At 38.8% G+C, this 25,810-nt stretch overlaps 1 protein-coding gene across 32 annotated transcripts in view, besides 2 other annotated features; it reads left to right on the forward strand.

The window, feature by feature from the left end:
- The window catches only part of TUSC3 (tumor suppressor candidate 3), a 434,904-nt gene that overhangs the window by 130,005 nt on the left and 279,089 nt on the right, over window positions 1-25,810 (forward strand). The window lies entirely within an intron of this gene.
- Window positions 14,595-15,182: an enhancer, noted in NCBI's record as "H3K27ac-H3K4me1 hESC enhancer chr8:15419296-15419883 (GRCh37/hg19 assembly coordinates)". NCBI's record gives its function as "activates a minimal SCP1, AML or CMV promoter by ChIP-STARR-seq in naive H9 embryonic stem cells {active_cell/tissue: H9 hESC(naive)}" and the evidence as "EXISTENCE:reporter gene assay evidence [ECO:0000049][PMID:30033119]".
- Window positions 23,280-23,822: an enhancer, noted in NCBI's record as "NANOG hESC enhancer chr8:15427981-15428523 (GRCh37/hg19 assembly coordinates)". NCBI's record gives its function as "activates a minimal SCP1, AML or CMV promoter by ChIP-STARR-seq in naive H9 embryonic stem cells {active_cell/tissue: H9 hESC(naive)}" and the evidence as "EXISTENCE:reporter gene assay evidence [ECO:0000049][PMID:30033119]".

Genomic DNA, 25,810 nt, shown 5'->3' on the forward strand with positions numbered 1-25,810 from the left:
GGCACTTTAGTACAGGTTAAATAAGTTGTAGCACTGATTTTATTTAATGGAAATATTTGTGATTTTAGAAGTATAATTTTTAGAAATGGCATAACATGGTTGTCATTGTGATTTGACTCAACTTTTGGAAATATTTTGGTACGGAGTTTTCTCTGCTTGGAAACAGCAAACCATTGCCAAGTTAGTTTCTAGGAGTTTTACAGTAAAACTAAAGGTCATAAATTGTGAAATCTTTTTGCTATTCATATTAAATACTAAATTGAATGAAATACCTTAGTATAACTTACTGAATTTAATGAACTTGGTGGTCGATAATAAGGCTTAAATTATATCAGGAAAATAAAAATAAAACAAGCAACAAGCAGACAGGATACTAGGCATTTGACTTAGTTAGATTGTTGTCGTAGATTGAATGTTTATGTTCCCACAAAATTTATAGGTTGAAATCCTAACTTTGAGTGAGAAAGTATTAGGAGGTGGGGCCTTTGGGAAGTGATAGGTCCTCAGGGGTGCCGCCCTCATGAATTAGATTAGTGCCCTTATAAATAGGACCCCAGAGAGCTCTCTGGTCCTCGTTCTCCCAAGTGAGGAAGTGCCCTTTCCATTGCATTATGGGTACTTGAGTTCTCATGGTAACATGAAGGGGAAAGAAAATTTATTTTTCACTTTCAAATATCAAACTTGGTAGGTATCTTTACACGATTAACCAACATTTTCATAATAATAAATATACCAGTAAATAATTCACTTTATTTTTAACTTTTTTCTGTTATTTTTAACTTTATTTTATTTTTTATTTATTTTTAATTGTTTTTTCTTCTGTGAGAAGATAGCAATGTGAGCAATCTGCAGTCCAGAAGGGAGCTTTCACCAGAACCCGACCATGCTGGAACTCTGATCTTGGACTTCCAGCACCCAGACCTGTGAGAAATAAATTTCCGTTGCCCCCTAGTTTATGGTAATTTGTTATAGCAGCCCAAACGAACGAAGACAATTGTATATAATTTTCACAATATCTTTGCCTGATGGTTGTGACAAACTATTTGTCTAACTTTTGTCTTTACTGACAGTAGATTGGTTTGGTTTAAGTATTGAGAGAAGCTGGGACACTTGCCAGCCCTAAGCAATAATTTCTATCAGTTAAAGATCATCATTATTTCAGCATCTTGCAAATTATTGTTTTAGAAGTGAGTATATGATACAGTTGTACATGGCTTTGGGAAAGTTTCCTTCTTCTTTACAGAGGGCACACAAGGACGGGAAATTTTCTCATCCTGTCTTTGGAGTGTGTGTATGAGAATGTGATGCTTTGGTTGCTGAAACCATCTTATTACCTCGAAAGTACACGCCTGAGGGCAAAAAACAGCATAGAAAAATGGGAAGAACTGGGTACTTGATGACATGTCTTAGCCTTGTAATTGCTCTCTCAACTCCTTGCTTTGTGAGTTAATAACCTTCCTTATTGTTTAGCACATTTCAAATTGGATTTCTGATATTTTGTATCTAAAATCATTCTACTAAGGGAGGTATTGTTGAATTAAGCATTTTGCCCATGACTGTACAACTTGTATGTTTACAGTTTTACTCCAGAATTCTCCTTCTACCCTATGTTTTAATAACTAGCTATACAACGCTATTTGTCAATTACATATTAAATATCAGTAGGAGATTGTTGAGGTACATGTAGCCCTCCCTGATCCTTGAATCTCAGTGATCACTATTAAAAAGCATCTGTGCATGTTTGGAAGAGAATTTTCCATGTGTTTCTTTTAGTGAAATAAGTGTTTTTATTGAGTGGATTGAAGCTCTGTGTTAAATAATGTGTGAATCAAAAAAATTGTAGGAAAAAGATTGGAAATAAATTTAATATGTACCTTAAAAATTGTTAGTCCAAGGAATGGGTAGAAGAATAATTTATACCTCAGGTATATTTGCTGCATACAATGTGTTTTCTATATGAATGCTTTTTAAAAGTACTTATTTATTTTATTTTATTTTTTGAGACGGAGTCTTGCTCTGTCGCCCAGGCTGGAGTGCAGTGGGCTATCTCTGCTCATTGCAACCCCTGCCTCCCGGATTCAAGTGATTCTCCTGCCTCAGCCACCTGAGGAGCTGGGATTACAGGCGCACGCCACCACATCTGGCTGATTTTTGTATTTTTAGTAGAGGCTGGGTTTCACCATGTTGATCAGGCTGGTCTCAAACTCCTGACCTCGTGATCTGCCCGCCTCGGCCTCCCAAAGTGCTGGGATTACAGGCGTGAGCCACCATGCTCGGCCTAATGTACTTACTTATTTTTTTGTGTGTGCCTATAATTGATTGGTAGGTGTTTTCATTTTAAAGGCATACCAAATGAAATACAAAGAGTCATTTAACTTTTATTTTTAGAATATTATATTTTAATAATATTCTTTTGGTTAACATGTGAGTTAAGTTGAAGGAAAAGAAAACGGGGCCTCCCTTAAGGAAGGGAGAATGCTGATTGGTCCATGTTTTTTAGAATTTTCAAGGGGAGTAAAAGTTTTTCTCGTACTCATAATAGTGGAGTGGTTGTGCTGTTTTTTGCCATTGTTTCCTGTACATTTTTCCTCTTGAAGCATTTATGAGGAAGGATGGCTGAATCAAGGTTGAATACTACCATGATGGTGTAGCAGGACGAGCCGCAGACAAGAACCCCTCAGACACTGAATTGTAGAAGGAAAGGGCTTCATTCAGCTGGGAGCATCAGCAGACTCACATCTCCAAAAACCGAGCTCCCCGAGTGGGCAATTCCTGTCACCTTTAAGGGCTTACAACTCTAAGGGGATCCATGTGAGAGGGTCATGATCGATTGAGCAAGCACGGGGTACGTGACTGGGGGCTGCTCACACCTGCACCAGTAATTAGAATGGAACAGAACAGGACAGGGATTTTCACAATGCTTTTCCATACAATGTCTGTAATCATAGCCGATTAGGTCAGGGGTCGTTCTTTAACTACCAGGCCCAGGGTGTGGCACCGGGCTGTCTGTCTGTGGATTTCATTTCTGCCTTTTAGTTTTTATTTCTGTTTTCTTTGGAGGCAGAAATTTGGCATAAGACAATATGATGGGTGGTCTCCTCCCTTAATGGCACTTGAATTCAGCTTGGCTTTCCATTGACAGCCACATGAGTTGCATGCTTAGATGTTGGACATAGTGTAAATCATAAGAGAATAGTAACTGTAGAATGTGATTTTACAAAATATTGCATTATAGAATGTTAGAGCAGGAAAGTCAGGTTTCAGGCTAAATAACAAAGCTGGGACTAAAAACAAGGTTTCCTCATACCAGAGTTTGTGTTATTGTATTCTCATGCTCCATTATCAAGAATTTATGCTGTCAGGGTCTTACCCTCCTACCCTGCCCCCATCCCCTGTCCTTTCGCCACTTTCATACTGTTTCATTACTATCATGATTCTTTCCTCTGTCTTTTTGTAGCTGATCTTTTTTTAATTAGTTAGTTAATTATTTTTTTTTAAAGATAGTGTCTCTCACTGTCACCCAGGTTGGAGTGCAGTGGCATGGTCTCATCTCACTGCAACCTCTGCCTCCCGGGTTCAAGTGATTCTCGTGCCTCAGCCTCCCGAGTAGCTGGGATTACAAGCGTGCACCACAACACTTGGCTAATTTTTGTATTTTTAGTAGAGACGGGGTTTCATCATGTTCGCCATGCTGGCCTTAAATTCCTAACCTCGGGTGATCTGCCCGCCTCGGCCTCCCAAGTGCTGGGATTACAGGGGTGAAATAAAATGGTAACTTACAAAGTGTTAAGGACCTTGTAAAAATTCTAGATAAATAAATGTGGATTCTAGTTCCTTTGATTTAAACTCTGTGTTCTTGGGAAAGTCACTTAACCGTTTGGAGCAGCAGTTGTCCTCAAATGTAAAATGAGAGGGTTGAACAAGATCAGGATTTCTGAACATGGTAAATGCAGAAAAAGTTTCCCATTAGTTCTCTGAAATTACATACATTTTCATTTATGGAATAAATGTGTTTTTCTGGCATATCTTTAATTTTTATTAGGTTCTAAAAATGCCTAGAAACTACTAGAGTAGACTTTTAGATCCTTTCTAGATTTTTAAGATTATATAAAATATGGTAATAGAATGATTTATGGTAGTTTCTCTATATATCAAAGCTAATTTTATGTTTTAGAAGTTGACTCATGATAACAGTCTTGCTTTGATTTGATTAAAACTTTCTTATAAAGAAGCCTAAATAACGTTAATTTTCAACAATTTAATTGAGTTATATGATTCGTGGGGGGTAACAAAAACTAATTGTGGCTGAGCTGTGTAAGTTCTTTTATTTGACTGTCAAATAGCAATTAAATTTACACTCATTATTTTTGCCTGTTTCAAATACCTAATCTACAAAGCCATAAATTAAATCAGTAAGCTACTTTTGTTCATTGCTGTAGTTTTCAAAGAACTTCATAGGTGTTATATACCACAGTAACTCAGGAGAAACAACTTAAGAAGTTATTTGTCTTAGTCATTACTGCCGGTCTCTTGTGTTCAAGGTACGTGTTATAAGGGTAAGAAACAAAATATTCTGCAAGGTTTTAAAAAGGAATGGGAGGGTACTGGTTGTATTACTTCCCTTTTCTCTGTATCCCTTTTCCTTCAAAAGTTACTTCTGTTGAGTTAGCGTCATAGCATTTGTATACATAGTTCATAATCTTTGTTTTTGGATTTTCACAGGGTTCCATCATGACACAGTAAATAGATGATTCCAGGGAACTTTATACTGTGTTTTACCGATTTCTTAGTAAAATAGAAACTTCTTGAGTATGGAGACTTCTTTGATTTGATGTCTATGCCATTTTAATTATGGCAGAAGCCCAAAGTAGACAAGCCTTATATGTTTGATTCCTGTTTGGGTGTTGATTTCTTAAGTATGTTGTAAATGTTTTTCATATTATGTACCTTTTGATGATTTTACGTAGAAATACTATTATTGATGTAAGCAATACAAAATAAATATATTGGAGTATCATCATCCTAAAATATGGCACATGTTACTGAACAAAGTGCCAAGTTATTGAAGTTTCTCCAATATGTGATCTGTCATTTTTTGTCAACAAATATTTATTGGTGAATACTACATGTTAGGTAGGTACAGTGCTGGATTTTGAAGGTAGAGTGATGAATAAGACAGCCATTGTCCCGGATATATCCTACTGCTCATAGTTCAGTGGGAGATTCAGACAGAAAATCAGGCAGTTATAATGTAATATAAGAAGTCAATAAACTGGGAAATAATGGGCGCTATACTAGCATATTGGGGTGAGCTGAAAACTAAAGAGCTAATCATAGGAAATAACCCAGTGAAGAGGGCGAGTGCTAAACAGCACTGGTAAAGGTCCAGCATATGAAAAAACACAGCAAATTCAGAGAACTCAAAGCTTGGTATGGCTAAGTTTAGAATACACAGGGTGGGGGAATAGTGGATTGAGGCCAGAGTGGAAGTGAGGATCAAATCTTGAAGACTCTTCTTAAGCCATGTTAAAGAATCTGGATCTGAACTTGATCCTGAAATCGGTGGGGAGAATTGAAGGGTTTTATCTTGGGAGTGACAAAGTGAGGTTTATATTTAGAAGGATTGCTATGGCTATGCTGTGGAGAATAGCTTAGGTGGGGATGCAAGACTGGAGAAGAGGCTTCTGCAGATGTCAAAGTGAGAGGTAATGATGACTTGAAATTAGTTGTGGCAGTGAGAATGAAGAAAAATACTTGGATTCCAGAGTTGTTTAGGAGCCAGACTAGACAGTACTCGGTAATTGGTTGTGTGCGGAATGAGAGAAAAGGAGACAAGGGTGATGACTACATTTCTTGATAAAAGGGAAATTCTATTTATTGAAATAGGAAACAGGAGAAGAAAGATTTTCGAAGGAAGATAACATGTTCGTGTTTGAGAATGTATGAGATGCCTGTGTGATATCTAAACTGAGATGTTTGAGAAGCAGAATATATGGAAATGAAGCTTCGATCTGGGCTGATGATAAAATAGACTTGAAAATCATTCGCCTAAATGGGAATTGAATTCATGGTGGTGGATAAAAATCACCCAGCCAGAGCACTTACAGTAAAAAATAGAGGACCTGTTGCAAACCCCTCAAAGATACCAATATTTTGGTGTGCTGCAAAAGCGATGCTTGCAAAAGATCCTTGGACTTCGTTGCTGGAGGAGCTTAGAAGGAAATGCAGCAGAATTTTGGATGTCACAGGAGGAGAATGTTCCAAGGAGAGGTCAACAGTGATAAGTTTGGACTTTGCTGCTGGAGGAGCTTACAAGGAAACACAGCAGAATTTTGGATGTCACAGGAGGAGAATGTTCCAAGGAGAGGTCAAAAGTGATAAATGTTGACCACTGAGAGGTTAAATAACAACTGAACAGTTCTTCGGATTTAGCAAGAACGGCTTCATTGCAGTGTTACAGTGAACACTAGAATGTGGTAGGTTAATTAATGAGTGGGTTGTGAGGAAGTGGAGGCAGCCAACACTTCTTCTCAAACAATTTGCTGTGAATGGGAAGAGAGAGTTAAGTGGTGGTAGCTGGAGAAGAAGCTGAAATGAAAATAAAGAATGTTATGTCAGGTGACTGAGAAGGTAGGAGGAAGGAATGGGAAGTGGAGAACAGCTGACAGCATTAGCCTTATATGGAAATATGGTAGTTGTTACGGTTGTTCGTAGATACTTTGTTTTCCCCCATGCATATGGTAGTGTCAGGCTGTTCAGACTGCCATAACCATCAGATGGGCAGCATATACACCATACAAATTTTTTTCTCACAGTTATGGGAGCTGGGAAGTCCAAGATCAAGGTGACCTCAGATCCGTGTCTGGTGAGGCCCACTTTCTCGGAGATGGCACTTCTCTGTCTTCACATGATTCAAGGGACAAACGAGCTCCCTTGGACCTATGGATTTTTGATTTTGTCATCTCTTCAAACCCCACCTTCCTTGTATCATCACAATGGTGATAAGGTTTCAACATAAGAATTTTGTGGGGATACAAACATGCAGACCTAGCAGGTAGGATTTAACTTTCCTAATATTTTGAACTCAGCATGGCCACATGACTAACTTTAGCCTGTGAAATGCAAGGAGATGTGTGTCATTGCTAGGCAGAAGCTTGCAGCACCATTGCATGCTTTGCTGTATTCTTTTTTCCTGTCTTGTGCTGACTGGGAATGTTTGAGATGGTAGATGCTTTATCAGCCAGGGTCTCTGAATGACCAGGGTGAGCAGCCTCCCTGACAACTCACAATGAAGAAATGTACTTTTATTTATTTATTTTTAAATACTGAGATTTGGAGCTCTTAGTGCACTATAGTCTAACCTATTTGGATTGTTTCAAGGACTGTTGACTTTTGCATTTTACTATAATTTTTTTTTTTTTTTTTTTTGAGATGGAGTCTCACTCTGTCGCCCAGGCTGGAGTGCAGTGGCGTGATTTCAGCTCACTGCAAGCTCTGCCTCCCAGGTTCACACCATTCTCCTGCCTCAGCCTCCCGAGTAGCTGGGACCACAGGCGCCCTCACCACGCCCGGCTAATTTTTTTTTTGTATTTTTAGTAGAGACGGGGTTTCACCGTGTTAGCCAGGATGGTGTCGATCTCCTGACCTCGTGATCCACCTGCCTCAACCTCCCAAAGTGCTGGGATTACAAGCGTGAGCCACCGCACCCGGCCAACATTTTATTATAATTTTAAATAGCTACTGTGGAAATAGGTAAATTGACTCAGAAAGCAATGAAGCGCTGCTAAATCGTGTGAAGGGCTATTTAAGTTTGGGGTTTTGGCAAGGAGATTGAAGGAACACACATTATAGATATAGAGAATGTAAGGAATTGGTTGTTATTTTGAAAAATTTACATAAGATTTCTCCTTGATTAGGTACGTAGGTGACAATATTATAATAGCAGTCTTTTTTTTTTTTTTTTTTTTTTTGGGGGGGACGAGATCTTACTCTGTTGTCCAGGGTGGAGTGTAGTGGTGTGATCTTGGCTTACTGCAACCTCTGCCTCCTTGGCCCTTGGTTCATGTGCCACCATGCCAGGCTAATTTTTTTTTTTTTTTTTTTTTTTTTTTTTTTTTTTAAAGACATGGTCTTGCTCTGTTGCCCAGGCTGGAGTGCAGTGCTGGGGGATCACAGTTCACTGTGGCCTTGACCTCCTGGGCTCAAGTGATCCTCCCACCTCAGCCTCCCCAGTAGCTGGGACCACAGGCACTTGCCACCATGCCTAGCTAGTTTTTTTGTATTGTAGAGACGAAGTCTCCCTGTGTTGTACAGGATGGCCTTGAACTCTTGGGCTCAAGTGATCCCCCTGCCTTGGCCTCCCAGAGTGCTGGGATTACAGTATTACAGTCTTAAAATGAGAAATTGTTAGGCAGTTAATGGTAACCTTCATTTCTCTCATATTTTACTTCGAAGGTCTCAAACCAATTTCCTGATGTTTTGATATTTTTATGAATCAGATAAGCCCTTTCATGTTTGTAATATTTCATAACTGTTGGAATATTGCATGTATCTAAAGAATCTTGTAGAAGTTTAGCAACATTTGATCATTTATTCTAAGGAGGCTTTTGTTTAGAAGTATTAACTTTAGGTAAATTTCTTACGGACTCTTTCAGCTGTGGGTCATTTTATGAAATATAAGCCAATGTTGATTTATAATAATTTATAGTTCTCTGATAAAAATATATCAATAATGTATGCTTTCTGGATATAAATGATCAAAACCATTAGAAAATAGAGGTAAAAATCAATTTTATTTTTTATTTTTTTATTTTTTATTTTTTTTTTATTATACTTTAAGTTTTAGGGTACATGTGCACATTGTGCAGGTTAGTTACATATGTATACATGTGCCAAGCTGGTGCACTGCACCCACTAACTCGTCATCTAGCATTAGGTAAATCTCCCAGTGCTATCCCTCCCCCCTCCCCCCACCCCACAACAGTCCCCAGAGTGTGATATTCCCCTTCCTGTGTCCATGTGATCTCATTGTTCAGTCCCCACCTATGAGTGAGAATATGCGGTGTTTGGTTTTTTGTTCTTGAGATAGTTTACTGAGAATGTTTTCCAATTTCATCCATGTCCCTACAAAGGACATGAACTCATCATTTTTTATGGCTGCATAGTATTCCATGGTGTATATGTGCCACATTTTCTTAATCCAGTCTATCATTGTTGGACATTTGGGTTGGTTCCAAGTCTTTGCTGTTGTGAATAATGCCACAGTAAACATACGTGTGCATGTGTCCTTATAGCAATACGATTTATAGTCCTTTGGGTATATACCCAGTAATGGGATGGCTGGGTCAAATGGTATTTCCAGTTCTAGATCCCTGAGGAATCGCCACACTGACTTCCACAATGGTTGAACTAGTTTACAGTCCCACCAACAGTGTAAAAGTGTTCCTCTTTCTCCACATCCTCTCCAGCACCTGTTGTTTCCTGACTTTTTAATGATTGCCACTCTAACTGGTGTGAGATGGTATCTCATTGTGGTTTTGATTTGCATTTCTCTGATGGCCAGTGATGATGAGCATTTTTTCATGTGTTTTTTGGCTGCATAAATGTCTTCTTTTGAGAAGTGTCTGTTCATGTCCTTTGCCCACTTTTTGATGGGGTTGTTTGTTTTTTTCTTGTAAATTTGTTTGAGTTCATTGTAGATTCTGGATATTAGCCCTTTGTCAGATGAGTAGGTTGTGAAAATTTTCTCCCATTTTGTAGGTTGCCTGTACACTCTGATGGTAATTTCTTTTGCTGTGCAGAAGCTCTTTAGTTTAATTAGATCCCATTTGTCAATTTTGGCTTTTGTTGCCATTGCTTTTGGTGTTTTAGACATGAAGTCCTTGCCCATGCCTATGTCCTGAATGGTAATGCCTAGGTTTTCTTCTAGGGTTTTTATGGTTTTAGGTCTAACGTTTAAGTCTTTAATCCATCTTGAATTGATTTTTGTATAAGGTGTAAGGAAGGGATCCAGTTTCAGCTTTCTACATATGGCTAGCCAGTTTTCCCAGCACCATTTATTAAATAGGGAATCCTTTCCCCATTGCTTGTTTTTCTCAGGTTGTCAAAGATCAGATAGTTGTAGATATGCGGTGTTATTTCTGAGGGCTCTGTTCTGTTCCATTGATCTATATCTCTGTTTTGGTACCAGTACCATGCTGTTTTGGTTACTGTAGCCTTGTAGTATAGTTTGAAGTCAGGTAGTGTGATGCCTCCAGCTTTGTTCTTTTGGCTTAGGATTGACTTGGCGATGCGGGCTCTTTTTTGGTTCCATATGAACTTTAAAGTAGTTTTTTCCAATTCTGTGAAGAAAGGCATTGGTAGCTTGATGGGGATGGCATTGAATCTATAAATTACCTTGGGCAGTACGGCCATTTTCATGATATTGATTCTTCCTACCCATGAGCATGGAATGTTCTTCCATTTGTTTGTATCCTCTTTTATTTCCTTGAGCAGTGGTTGGTAGTTCTCCTTGAAGAGGTCCTTCACATCCCTTGTAAGTTGGATTCCTAGATATTTTCTTCTCTTTGAAGCAGTTGTGAATGGGAGTTCACTCATGATTTGGCTCTCCGTTTGTCTGTTGTTGGTGTATAAGAATGCTTGTGATTTTTGTACATTGATTTTGTATCCTGAGACTTTGCTGAAGTTGCTTATCAGCTTAAGGAGATTTTGGGCTGAGACAATGGGGTTTTCTAGATATACAATCATGTCGTCTGCAAACAGGGACAATTTGACTTCCTCTTTTCCTAATTGAATACCCTTTGTTTCCTTCTCCTGCCTAATTGCCCTGGCCAGCACTTCCAACACTATGTTGAATAGGAGTGGTGAGAGAGGGCATCCCTGTCTTGTGCCAGTTTTCAAAGGGAATGCTTCCAGTTTTTGCCCATTCAGTATGATATTGGCTGTGGGTTTGTCATAGATAGCTCTTATTATTTTGAGATATGTCCCATCAATACCTAATTTATTGAGAGTTTTTAGCATGAAGGGTTGTTGAATTTTGTCAAAGGCTTTTTCTGCATCTCTTGAGATAATCATGTGGTTTTTGTCTTTGGCTCTGTTTATATGCTGGATTACATTTATTGATTTGCGTATATTGAACCAGCCTTGCCGTCCCAGGGATGAAGCCCACTTGATCATGGTGGATAAGCTTTTTGATGTGCTGCTGGATTCGTTTTGCCAGTATTTTATTGAGGATTTTTGCATCAATGTTCATCAAGGATATTGGTCTAAAATTCTCTTTTTTTGTTGTGTCTCTGCCTGGCTTTGGTATCAGAATGATGCTGGCCTCATAAAATGAGTTAGGGAGGATTCCCTCTTTTTCTATTGATTGGAATAGTTTCAGAAGGAATGGTACCAGTTCCTCCTTGTATCTCTGGTAGAATTCAGCTGTGAATCCATCTGGTGCTGGACTCTTTTTGGTTGGTAAGCTATTGATTATTGCCACAATTTCAGCTCCTGTTATTGGTCTATTCAGAGATTCAACTTCTTCCTGGTTTAGTCTTGGGAGAGTGTATGTGTCGAGGAATTTATCCATTTCTTCTAGATTTTCTAGTTTATTTGCATAGAGGTGTTTGTAGTATTCTCTGATGGTAGTTTGTATTTCTGTGGGATCGGTGGTGATATCCCCTTTATCATTTTTTATTGCGTCTGTTCGATTCTTCTCTTTTTCTTTATTAGTCTTGCTAGCGGTCTATCAATCTTGTTGGTCCTTTCAAAAAACCAGCTCCTGGATTCATTAATTTTTTGAAGGGTTTTTTGTGTCTCTATTTCCTTCAGTTCTGCTCTGATTTTAGTTATTTCTTGCTTTCTGCTAGCTTTTGAATGTGTTTGCTCTTGCTTTTCTAGTTCTTTTAATTGTGATGTTAGGGTGTCAATTTTGGATCTTTCCTGCTTTCTCTTGTGGGCATTTAGTGCTATAAATTTCCCTCTACACACTGCTTTGAATGCGTCCCAGAGATTCTGGTATGTTGTGTCTTTGTTCTCGTTGGTTTCAAAGAACATCTTTATTTCTGCCTTCATTTTGTTATGTACCCAGTAGTCATTCAGGAGCAGGTTGTTCAGTTTCCATGTAGTTGAGCAGTTTTGAGTGAGATTCTTAACCCTGAGTTCTAGTTTGATTGCACTGTGGTCTGACAGACAGTTTGTTATAATTTCTGTTCTTTTACATTTGCTGAGGAGAGCTTTACTTCCAAGTATGTGGTCAATTTTGGAATAGGTGTGGTGTGGTGCTGACAAAAATGTATATTCTGTTGATTTGGGGTGGAGAGTTCTGTAGATGTCTGTTAGGTCCGCTTGGTGCAGAGCTGAGTTCTATTCCTGGGTATCCTTGTTGACTTTCTGTCTCGTTGATCTGTCTAATGTTGACGGTGGGGTGCTAAAGTCTCCCATTATTAATGTGTGGGAGTCTAATTCTCTTTGTAGGTCACTCAGGACTTGCTTTATGAATCTTGGTGCTCCTGTATTGGGTGCATATATATTTAGGATAGTTAGCTCTTCTTGTTGAATTGATCCCTTTACCATTATGTAATGGCCTTCTTTGTCTCTTTTGATCTTTGTTGGTTTAAAGTCTGTTTTATCAGAGACTAGGATTGCAACCCCTGCCTTTTTTTGTTTTCCATTTGCTTGGTAGATCTTCCTCCATCCTTTTATTTTGAGTCTATGTGTGTCTCTGCACGTGAGATGGGTTTCCTGAATACAGCACACTGATGGGTCTTGACTCTTTATCCAATTTGCCAGTCTGTGTCTTTTAATTGGAGCATTTAGTCCATTTACATTTAAAGTTAATATTGTTATGTGTGAATTTGATCCTGTCATGATGATGTTAGCTGGTGATTTTGCTCGTTAGTTGATGCAGTTTCTTCCTAGTCTCGATGGTCTTTACATTTTGGCATGATTTTGCAGCGGCTGGTACCGGTTGTTCCTTTCCATGTTTAGTGCTTCCTTCAGGAGCTCTTTTAGGGCAGGCCTGGTGGTGACAAAATCTCTCAGCATTTGCTTGTCTGTTAAGTATTTTATTTCTCCTTCACTTATGAAGCTTAGTTTGGCTGGATATGAAATTCTGGGTTGAAATTTCTTGTCTTTAAGAATGTTGAATATTGGCCCCCACTCTCTTCTGGCTTGTAGGGTTTCTGCTGAGAGATCCGCTGTTAGTCTGATGGGCTTCCCTTTGAGGGTAACCCGACCTTTCTCTCTGGCTGCCCTTAACATTTTTTCCTTCATTTCAACTTTGGTGAATCTGACCATTATGTGTCTTGGAGTTGCTCTTCTCGAGAAGTATCTTTGTGGCATTCTCTGTGTTTCCTGAATCTGAACGTTGGCCTGCCTTGCTAGATTGGGGAAGTTCTCCTGGATAATATCCTGCAGAGTGTTTTCCAACTTGGTTCCATTCTCCCCATCACTTTCAGGTACACCAATCAGACGTAGATTTGGTCTTTTCACATAGTCCCATATTTCTTGGAGGCTTTGCTCATTTCTTTTTATTCTTTTTTCTCTAAACTTCCCTTCTCGCTTCATTTCATTCATTTCATCTTCCATCGCTGATACCCTCTCTTCCAGTTGATCGCATCGGCTCCTGAGGCTTCTGCATTCTTCACGTAGTTCTCGAGCCTTGGTTTTCAGCTCCATCAGCTCCTTTAAGCACTTCTCTGTATTGGTTATTCTAGTTATACATTCTTCTAAATTTTTTTCAAAGTTTTCAACTTCTTTGCCTTTGGTTTGAATGTCCTCCTGTAGCTGAGAGTAATTTGATCGTCTGAAGCCTTCTTCTCTCAGCTCGTCAAAGTCATTCTCCATCCAGCTTTGTTCCGTTGTTGGTGAGGAACTGCGTTCCTTTGGAGGAGGAGAGGCGCTCTGCGTTTTAGAGTTTCCAGTTTTTCTGTTCTGTTTTTTCCCCATCTTTGTGGTTTTATGTACTTTTGGTCTTTGATGATGGTGATGTACAGATGGGTTTTTGGTGTGGATGTCCTTTCTGTTTGTTAGTTTTCCTTCTAACAGACAGGACCCTCAGCTGCAGGTCTGTTGGAATACCCTGCAGTGTGAGGTGTCAGTGTGCCCCTGCTGGGGGGTGCCTCCCAGTTCGGCTGCTAGGAGGTCAGGGGTCAGGGACCCACTTGAGGAGGCAGTCTGCCAGTTCTCAGATCTCCAGCTGCGTGCTGGGAGAACCACTGCTCTCTTAAAAGCTGTCAGACAGGGACATTTAAGTCTGCAGAGGTTACTGCTGTCCTTTTGTTTGTCTGTGCCCTGCCCCCAGAGGTGGAGCCTACAGAGGCAGGCAGGCCTCCTTGAGCTGTGGTGGGCTCCACCCAGTTCGAGCTTCCTGGCTGCTTTGTTTACCTAATCAAGCCTGGGCAATGGCGGGTGCCCCTCCCCCAGCCTCACTGCCGCCTTGCAGTTTGATCTCAGACTGCAGTGCTAGCAATGAGCGAGACTCCGTGGGTGTAGGACCCTCCGAGCCAGGTGCGGGATATAATCTTGTGGTGCGCCGTTTTTTAAGCCCGTCGGAAAAGCGCAGTATTCGGGTATGAGTGACCCGATTTTCCAGGTGCCGTCCGTCACCCCTTTCTTTGACTCGGAAAGGGAACTCCCTGACCCCTTGCGCTTCCCAAGTGAGGCAATGCCTCGCCCTGTTTCGGCTGGCGCACGGTGTGCGCACCCACTCTCCTGCACCCACTGTCTGGCACTCCCTAGTGAGATGAACCCGGTACCTCAGATGGAAATGCAGAAATCACCATCTTCTGCGTTGCTCAGGCTGGGAGCTGTAGACAGGAGCTGTTCCTATTCGGCCATCTTGGCTCCTCTCTTCAAAAATCAATTTTTAAGTAGGCCTTCATAGCTAAGATGGAAATGGAAAAACAGCAGCAGTAAGAACAGCTATGCAGGAGTCTAGCTTCAGAGATCTTGGAGATAAGAACTTCCCGGCATTTTCTTATAACCTAGTTGGGGTATCACTACACAATTACTGCGTGAGGTTGAGTACTGTAGTGATTTACCAACACTGTTATCTTACGGTTTTCTTCTGAGATGTTATCATTCGTGGATGGTATATAAGATATCCTGTTCTAAAAAATCTTATTTCTTAGTGTGGCATAGCTAATAAAACCGCTTCGCAATTTATCTTTCCATCCGTCTTATCTCCTCTCCCTTAAGATGAGTAATCCACTTTAAGCGTTAAGAAATAGGATGTAAAGTGTAAGGGTGGTTTGTGGGTATATTAGTTTTATATTGATGCATAAAAAATTGCCACAATTTAGTGGCTTAAAATAACACCCATTTCTTATCTCCTAGTTTCTAGATGTCAGAAGTCTGGGCATGGTGTAGCTGGATTCTGTCTCTGTTAAGGGTCTTAGGAGGCCAAAATTAAGGTGAGACCGGGTTGCGTTCTTTTCTGAATCTCTGGGTCCTCTTCTCAACTCATTCAAGTTGTAGGCAGAATTCAGCTTTTGGTAGTTGTAGGAAGGAGTTTCTTGTTTTCTTCCTGCTTGTGTTGCTCTCAGTTCTTTGCTGCCAACCCCAGGTTCCAGCCATGGAGCACCATCTATAGGCAGTTCACAGCATGGCTATTTGCTTTATTCCAGATCACTAGGATCACTTTTGTGACACTTCTTTTAAAATGTTTTCCTGATTAGGTGAGGCTAATCCAGGATAATCTCTCATTTAAATAACTCAGAGTTAATAGATTAGAGACCTTATGTTTGCAAATATTTGCCATATAAGGTAACATAATTGTGGGAGCGCTGTTCTGCTATATCACAGGTCTTGTCCATGCCCAGGGGAGGCAGTTACGTTACAGTGGTTCATTGGGGATTATTTCATTTATGCCTACTAAAGTGGGCAAGCCTGCACTTTTAGATTTTATGTAGTTTTAAATGGTGGCTTATAAAACCCATATAAACAGGCATGACAGTCAATGTATGGGACAGTATTATTTAATATAAGACATTTACCAATGACTATAAAATTAAAGTGATGATAACTTTATCATCACTTCATAAATAACTTCATGTGTGTCAGTCAGGGTTCAGTCACAGATGCAGGACCACTAGAAGGTGAATCTCTATGTCTCTCGATTTATTTGCAATGGTGTGAACCTGTTAAGTAGTCTCTGAAAGGCTACTGTTTGCATGGTGATGTTGGAGATTGTGGTCTGAGGGCAGGCCGTTGGGAAGATTGCTGTAAGGTAAGGAAGATTCAAGAACAAGCTGGAATCCCAGCATTTTGGGAGGCTGAGGTGGGCGGATCACAAGGTCAGGAGTTTGAGAACAGCCTGGCCAATATGGTGAAACCCTGTCTCTGCTAAAAATACAAAAATTAGCTGGTTGTGGTGGCGCATGCCTGTAATACCAGCTACTCAGGAGGCTGAGGCAGAAGAATTGCTTGAACCGGGGAGGCAGAGGATTCAGTGAGCCCGGATTGTGCCATAGCACTCCAGCCTGAGTGACAGAGTGAGCCTCCATCTCAAAAAAAAAAAAAAAAAAAAGAACAACCTGGAACCTACAAAGGTGGACTGAAACCATCCTCAGAGTAGTTTTAAAGCTCATAGTTCTTAAATTGCATGATACTGAGAAAATAGTTATTCATAAAAGTAAGCACTTGTAAATAAGAATTATTTCAAGTAATTCACGTATCTTGTAGTCTCAGAATACCTATTAAACTGGTCTGGAAGTCTGGAAGATTGATAGGCATTTTCCTTTTCATGAGGATATGAACAATTAAAATTCAAAGTTAAATTTTCATTGAGTCTGAAACAATTGTTTGGTGGGACATACTTTTAAAATGGATTTTAATATATTAAATGCTTTAAAGAAATGTTTCCCTCTTCCTCTCCATTATAGGAGAAACCATTATTATTCTGTCAGATAATTACTTGAAGTTTCAAAATTTTTAAAAAGTGTCTTTTAAAGTATTAGTTTAGATTTTTTTTCTAATTTTTGTGACTGGCACTTCAAAAATCATTAGAAACTTCGTAACAATGGGGATGGAATTTTCAAATCGAGGTTATTAATATTATGGAGAATAGTAGATAACTAAGTTTGGGCAGCCATGTTGTTTTTGAGTTAACATTTCTCTAACAGCTAAAATAAAAAATAAAAAAGTGATTTCTTGTCTCATTTGAAATATTCATATACAAATCTTAACGTCATCCAGCTGTCAACAGAGTAGTATTATAAAAAAGAAAATTGTGGAATCCACTGTCTACCGTATATTATTACTGAATATTATTGAAAGATACTTAACATCTTTTTAATACCCCCTTTTGTTTGTGAATATGTGCAGTGTCTATTTGAACACATTTGTCAACAGCTTTAGAGCTACTTATGTCATTTTCCTTCTGTGTCTTTCATTCTTTTATTAGATTTTATTATATTTCTTTTACATCCGTTGATGGTGTGCCAGACCTGTTTACCGTATGAGTTTTCTCTTCTTCACAGACACAAGCTAGATGACATTTCCCAGTGTCCCATGTTTAGATAGGACATTGTGACAGAGTTCTAGGCGATGGAGTGTAAACAGAGGTGATCTGTGTCGTCTGCAGCTTGACCCATCAAGATTTCCCCACGCTTGTGCTGGAGTGTCCACTCCCACCCTGTTCTAAGGACTCATCTTGTTTGCATCACAAGCTTCCCCGTGTGGTTCTGTGTTAGTGTGTCCCTGAGATTTGGAAGATAGAAGAGAAGGAGAGAGGCCACTGTTCTTTACAGAGAGCTGAGGCAGATTCATGGGCAGATATGAGGTTTGAAGCATTGTTCAGGGAAGTCCAGGATGACCATTGTATGCATTTTGTATTGTTGCTGTAACAAATTATCACAAATTTAGAGGCTTAAAACAACAGCAATCGATTATCTTACAGTTCTGGAGGTGGGATGTCCAAGTCAGTCTCACTGGGCTAAAGTCAAGGTGTCTGCAGGTTTGTTTCCTGCTGGAAGCGTTGAGGGGAGCCTTTTTTTTTTTTTGTCTTTTGCAGTTTCTAGAGGCTGCTGGCATTCCTCATTATTTCTTACTTGGCATCATTCCAGTCTCTGACTTCCATTCCCACATCTGAAAAACTGACTCTGATTTTCTTGCCTTCCTGTTACAGAGACCCTTACTATTTTGGATCTACCTGGCTAATATAGGATAATCTCTTCCCATTTCAGGATCATTTGTTTAGTCACATCTTGTGTCAGGTAAGGTAACAATTAACCTGTTTCTTGGAATTAGAACATGGACATCTTTGGTGGGTTGGGAAGGTCCCACTTTTCAGACTCCCACAGCTACCTGCTTAGCTGTTGCAGACCAAGATAGTTGGTGGAAGCTTTCAAGACATTCATACACTCCAGGTGTAGAAATTCACCAGGCTCTTGAGAATCTTCTGCTTTGGAGCTATAGGCAGAGATTGTATCTGTTTTCTTTAACTTTGTTTCTTTTGTCCTTCCCCAGTGGTGTTTTAAGCTTCATCTGATTCTCTGTATTAAATACTTTCATGCTTGGAACACATGCAGTGGTTTCTGTTTTCCTGACTGAAGTCTGATACAAAGCTCTTTCCCTATAACTAGGTTGAGAATGTAAAGAGGGACCTGGAAAGCCATGTGTTGCGGATGGCAGAGCAGCCATCAGCCTAGGTGTGGATGACTGTGTGGTACAGTCTCCTTAATCTCCTGAATTTGGCTCTGTACTATTATATGGATGTAAGCCACTAAAATTTTGGGGTCTGTCTGGTACTACAAAACTTTCTATAGCTTAATTCATTCTTACTAATAAAGATGACTTATTAAAAACTAAATACCAAAACAAATATCATCGCTTATGATGTATTTAAACACACCTGATTCAGAGTAGTACATTTTCCTTGTTTTTTCTGTCCATCGTTTGTTAACAAAGCCACTCAGCCCCTGAACTAACTTACTGGTATGCATTCTCAGTGTCTTCTCTAGACAACGTTATCAGAAGATGCTACAGTTTCCATATTTACAGCAGTGATTCATGTAATATATCTTTTGCCATGACTAGACTAAAACATAGAATTCAGAAGCCATTCTTTAGTAGTATGTTCCCTCTTATATAAGATGCAGCAGTTTTATTGTCAGTGTATGTTCATCATCAGCTTTATTAATTTTTTCCTGGAGCTCAGAAACGGATTTTAGTGGTTGGCGTTTTGAGGAAAACAACTTTAAATCATTTTATTATTCCTCATAGGATTATTTTGAACATGTGCTATTGTTACCATTTTAAGATGAGGGGGCCTAAGTTTAAAGATTTTTGTCACATGGTAACAGCTGCTAAAGGAAAGAGCTGGACCACAACAACTGATAAGGAAAAAAGTTTACCACTTTTTTCATCATATATTCCTCAGAGGAGGTATATGTACTTGTTTATCCGACTTCACAGAAGACACATTTTTTTGTTGTTGTTGTTGTTGTTGTTTTTTTTTTGAGACAGGGTCTTGCTCTGTTGCTCAGACTGGAGTACACTGGCACAATCACAGCTCACGACAGCCACAACCAACCTCCTAGGCTCAAGCAATCCTCCCGCGTTAGTCTCCTAAGTAGCTGGGATTATAGGCACGTGTCATCATGACTGGTTAATTTGTGTGTATGTGTTTGTGTTTGTAGAGACAGGATTTTACCATGTTTCCCAGGCTGCTCTTAAATTTCTGGGATCCAGTTATCCTGCGGCTTCGGCCTCCCAAACCATTGGGATTGTAGGTTTGCCCGGCCAACACATATTCTTACAGGTTGTAACATGAGTCATATTTTGGTCTTCACTTAGTGATAACCACCAGGAGGGGCTTTTATACTATGTGCTCTTGGCTAAGATAATGGCAAATTGGGAATGTGCAACAAATTCTAGTCATGGCTCTTTTAACTTAGTGATCTTGGTTAAGCCACCATATCTTTCTGGGTCACAGTACTTTCGGCAGTTAAGAATTAGACTTGAGCCAGATCCAAGATTCTTTGAACTCTGACATTTTATCATTCCTTTTAATGAAGGAACTGAAAAACATTTCGGGGCAGTGGGGAAGTGGAAGCATTATTTTCAGAAGAACACTGAAGTTAGTATTTTTTCAATTAACAAAAAGTTCTTCCTAACTTACTGTTTCTTTACTTAGCCACCAAACATTAATCACTGTCTTGGTTCTAGCACAGTAGTTTAAAACGTTTTCTCATCAAATATTAGCATAAGATCCTTTGCATTATATATCTTCAAATCATCCATGGAAACTTGCCCAGAGTAGGTACTTACTTATTTAACATTTAAAATAGTAGCAAACATTTTCACATACTTAAGATTCCTCTTAAATAGTTAAGTATCATAATCCTGACAGGTCTTCAATTGTCAATGGCTTTGCATATAAACCTGAGTAGCTCTCTTGTATCGCTTTTTAAATATCAACTTGATGAAATCCTTTGTCATATGTAAGATTGCAGTCAAGCATGAGAGTGAGCAAAAAATAATGTGACATGATGGGTTGGGATAGATACTAGGGTGAAATGAGGATGGATGTCTACATAGGGACAACTTTTGTAAGTGGTTGGAATGTAACAAATGGTTTTTGCCTCTCTACAAAATTTTGTGGTTATTGTGTGCACATTTTGAATACTTAGCTAAGGACTATCTCCTGTGGCATATGCCGAACTAAAAAGCACTAAAAAATTACTAAGATGAATGCCATGTTTGCATTTGGGTTGTTGGTAATGAAAGACACATTGAGTAATGTGTGGTACTCCTTATTTTTGTCCTCTGTAGGCCTCCACTCCTTTTTCTCCTCTTTGTTTTCATGTTAACAACCCCCTTTTCTATGGCCACATTGGTAGCATATTATCAGGCAAGGCTACACATATTACTCATTCCTCTTGTCACGATTGGCACAAGGTTGGGAAAGTGACTAGAGCCATTCTCTGAGATTTGTCCAAATGGAACTAGCAGAATGATTACCTTGCTCATTGGCCTGTGAAATTGGAAGGATGTGCTTTTCGTTTGTCTCTCACTTGGGCACGAAAAAGTGTGGTGTGCAGATGCTAAGCAAAAAACACAAAGAGAAGAGGCATTCATTTATTCCATAAAGATTTAAGCACTAGCTCTGTGCCAGTCCTTGTTCTGGGTGCCATCAATGCAGAAATAAACAAAATGTATAAAAATTGTTGCCCTCAGGGAGCTTCTATAGCTAGAGGGAGTACTGACAATACCAGTTAAGTTCTCATATCTGGTCATTCCTGAAACCAAATTTATCTTCATACCTTATTACTATATGAACTTATAAAGTCCATTTTGCCTAAACTAGATTGAATTAGGCTTATGTCATTTGTGATTTAAGATGTTTTGATAAACATGAAAGACATTTATAACTTCTTTCAGCTTTCATTAAGAAGATAATACAGAAATTAAAAATACACAAATTCTTTTTTTTTTTTTTTCCTGTGGAGTCTTGCTTTATCGCCTAGGCTGCAGTGCAGTGGTATAATCTTAGCGCACTGCAACTTCCATCTGCCAGGTTCAACTGATTCTCCTGCCTCAGCCTCCCAAGTAGCTGGGATTAAGGTGCCTGCCACCACACATGGCTAATTTTTGTAAAAAAAAAATGTAAATTCTTATTGGTATATTTGTGTAAAACTTTGTCATGTATTTTCACACTTTTTTCCATTTTTGGTACTTGGAGATTACATTATCATTTATTTTTTTTTCCTCATATTTCATTCTAAGCTTTAACCTCATGGTTTTCTGGCAAGGCACATTGGTTGACTACTTTCTTTAGTCATTCAGGAGGAAATAACTATTTTGTTTAGTAAATATTGCCAAGTAGACCTGATTTACATTAGATAGTTTTGCTAAGTCATTATTGTGCGGCTTGTTATATATTAAATGATCAAATTTTGAAAATTATAAAAAATCAGTAACAGTTTCCTTTATTACTGTATGATTAAGAGTACCATGCGAAATGTTTATTTATAGTCTTATAATTGTTGAAATGTTTTTGTCCCATCTGCTTCTGCATTTGGCATACCAAGTACTGTAAGATAGATAAGCTACTAAATTCTTTTAGTCATTCTTCCATTGCACTGTTCTGCGTCTATATCTCTATATAGTTTTTCTTGCTACTTGCTGGAAAATACATGGGCAGTTTATTTTCATGGAAAATATATACTCCATAAATATAGATGAATTGAGGTGATAATCAGAGAGTTTCCTCGTGAATTTGAGATAAAAAATTACAGCATCATGATAATGAAACTATATACACACACAAAGTTTATTTAACTTGCCTTGGAATATATGTGTAATTATCCTGACATCTGGATCTGGGCAAAGATAATAGCTTATGGCCAGAAGGAGCCAGGTATTTAGAAGGAGCGTGAGTAAATAATTTATGATTCAAACCAGGACATGTGGGAGAGAAATAAAGTGCAATTAATAATTTTGCTGAGATGACAGGAGTAAACTGGGACTTTCCCTGGGCTAACGGGGACATCTCGTTACGTGAGTTAGAGGTAGGGTAGACGGTTTGAAAATGGATACATAGTGTTTGATGCATTTTTGTTGATTAGCATAATTTTTAGGAATCTCAGTTGAAAATTTTTCTTCCTTGTCTGTTTGTATTCAAATACCGTGTCACACTCTTGTGTATGATTTGTAATCCATTTAGTGCGGACCAAAGGTTTAACATGTTGCTTTGGTGGCTTTAGTGCTGCTTATTTCTCTAATTTTTAAATTCAGCATTTAAAATTTTGTCATACTGCTTCAGTCACTTCATCGCTTAAGAGGCAATTCATTTTCTTTAAAAATAAATAGGTTTATTTGTATCCATTATAAATAATTTTGGATCCTATATATATTGATGGAAAATTTTGCTCAAATAAAACCTTCAGGTTTATAAAAGATTCCCACATTATTACTACTCTTGGTTATAGCTTGTCCATCGCATTATAAATTCTTGACTACTTTCTCATTGTAGGGAAGTTCTGATTTTGCATGTTATATGTCATCTGTGCAGAGTAATTTATTTCACAAAACACTCCACATCTTTTTCCAGTGTTAAAGCAACCTTGTTTTATAATGTATTTTACACACACACACACACACACACACACACACACACACACTCTTACTGAAACACATCTAATTGAATGTTGACTAAGTTTTCTAATGTTGCTTGCTGGAAATTGGTTGAAAGATTGTATTCTTTGGTTTGAAATAAGTTGCAACTGTATTTATAGCATATGAAGCTACATAAATTCAGATAGAGGCCTATGTCATTTTTTTCCCTGTGTGAATCAAAAGAGCTTGGAAGAAGAAATTGGAAATGACTTTAAAAACATGTGATTGTTTGGATTTAATTAAGCGGATGCTACGATTTATATTTTGTTGTTACATTTCAATGTAGTTGAACTAATGATAACTACCATTTATTTAATATTTGCTAACTATTTTACATGTATTATTTCATTTAAGCATCATCACAAGCTTAGCATGATTTTATTGTATAGGTGAACTTCAAGAGTTGAAGTAATTTGCCTGGAATCATGCAACTTGTAATTGGGCCAGTATTCAAATGCAGAACTGACTTCAAAGCTGTTCTTCTGATTTAAGTACTCTTTTATCAGTGCTTCTCATACTGAAAGAAGAGAGTGAATGCATACCTCTGGGGATGTGGAAGTGCAGCATGAAGCTGCCGGATTGTTCAAAATATATATTTGATCTTATATATATTAAAACATTTTGCAAACTTTGCTTTCTATTCCATTGCCTATTAGTTTTTTTTTTTTTTTTTTTTGAGATTGAGTCTTGCTGTGTCACCCAGGCTGAAGTGCAGTGATATGATCTTGGCTCACTGCAACCTCTACCTCCTAGGTTCAAGGGATTCTCCTGCCCCAGCCAGAGTAGCTGGGATTATAGGTGCCTGCCACCACACCTGACTAGTTTTTGTATTTTTAGTAGAGATGGGGTTTCACCCTGTTGGCCAGGCTGGTCTCGAACTCCTGACTTCAGGGGATCCACCTGCCTCGGCCTCCCAAAGTGTTGGGATTACAGGCGTGAGCCGCTGCTACCCACCGCTATTAATTTTTTTTAATGAAATTGTTTTATACTTTCAATTGAATACAGGTGTAACTTTGAGACATGGGCTTGGTGCCAGACCACTATAATAAAGCAAATATTACAATAAAGAGTTAGCAAGTTTTTTGGTTTCTCAGTGCATTTAGAAGTTAGGTTTACACTGTATTGTTGTCTATTAAATGTGCAATAGCACTCTGTCTAAAAGAAAAGTATATATACCTTAATTTAAAAATGCTATATTGCTTAAAAAATATGATCTTCTGAGCCTTCAGTGAGTTATAATCCTTTTGCTGGTGGAGGGTTTTGCTTCTTGTTGATGGCTACTGACCAATAAGGGTACTGGCTGCTGATGGTGGGAGCAGCTGGCAACTTCTTAAGAAATTAAGTTGGCCACATTGATTCCCTCTTTATTTCATGAAAGATTCCTCTGTTGCATGGAATGCTGTTTGATAGAATTTTACCCATAGTCTGACTTTTTGCAAAATTGGAGTCTGTCCTCTCAAACCCTGCCACTGCTCTATCAACTAAGTTTATGCAGCGTTCTTTCTCCATCAGAGCTTTTGAGTGACCAGGTGCTTTGGCTGTGAGCTGTAATATATTGAGAGGAATCTTTTTTTTCTGAGCAGTAGGTCTTAATACTGGGCTTCAAATATTCAGTAAACTGTGCTTTAAACATAGGTGCTGTTTTTCATCCAGGCTTTCTTGTTCCATTTATAGAGCACAGGCACAATAGATTTAGCTTAATTGCGCTGGACCTTAGGCTTTTCGGAATGGTAAATGAACGTTGGCTTCAACTTTAAGTCACCAGCTGCATTAGCCCCTACCAAGAGATTCAGCCTGTCCTTTCAAACCAGGCATCGACTTCTCTCTAGCCATGGCATCGCCTTCCAGTAGAAGGATGTTTAGTCTACTCTGAACATCCGTTGTTTAGTATACCCGTCTCCATCAATTATGCTAGCTAAATCTGGGTAATTTGCTGCAGCTTCTTGCAGCATAAACACTTGCTGCTTCATCTTGGACTTTTATGTTATGGAAATGGCTTCTTTCTTTAAACCTCATGAACCAACCTCTGCCAGCTTTAAATTTTTCTTCTGTAGCTTCCTTTCCTGTTTCAGCCTTCATTGGATTGAAGAGACTTAGGGCCTTGTTCTGAATTAGGCTTGGTTTAAGGGGATGTTGTTACTGATTTGATCTATCCAAACTATTTAAACTTTCTCTGTATCAGCAATAAGGCTGTTTTGCTTTCTTACCATTGATGTGTTCACTGGAGTAGCACTTTAAATTTCCTTGAAAACATTGCATTTGCATTAACAACTTGTCTAACTGTTCGGTGCAAGAGGTGTAGCTTTTGGCCTATCTGAGCTTTCCACATGCCTTCCTCACTAAGTTTAATCATTTTTAGCTTTTGATTTAAAGTGAGAGACATGTGACTCTGCATTTCACTTGAACACCTAGAGGTCATTGTTGGGTTATTCATTGGCCTAATTTCAATGTTTTTATGCTTTAGGCAATAGGAACGTGTGAGAAGAGTGGAGGTGGGGAATGGGTGGTTGGTGGAGCAGTCTGAATACACATGACATTTATCGATTAAATTTGCCATGTTTTACGGGCACCATTTGTGGTGCCCCAAAACAATCACAAAAGTGACATCAAAGATCACTGGTCACAGATTTCCATAACAAATAATAATAATGAAGAAGTTTGAAATATTGGGAGAGTTACCAGAATGTGACATAGACACTGACTG

This window comes from Homo sapiens, chromosome 8 (assembly GCF_000001405.40).
Source record: "Homo sapiens chromosome 8, GRCh38.p14 Primary Assembly".
Lineage (NCBI taxonomy): Eukaryota > Metazoa > Chordata > Mammalia > Primates > Hominidae > Homo > Homo sapiens.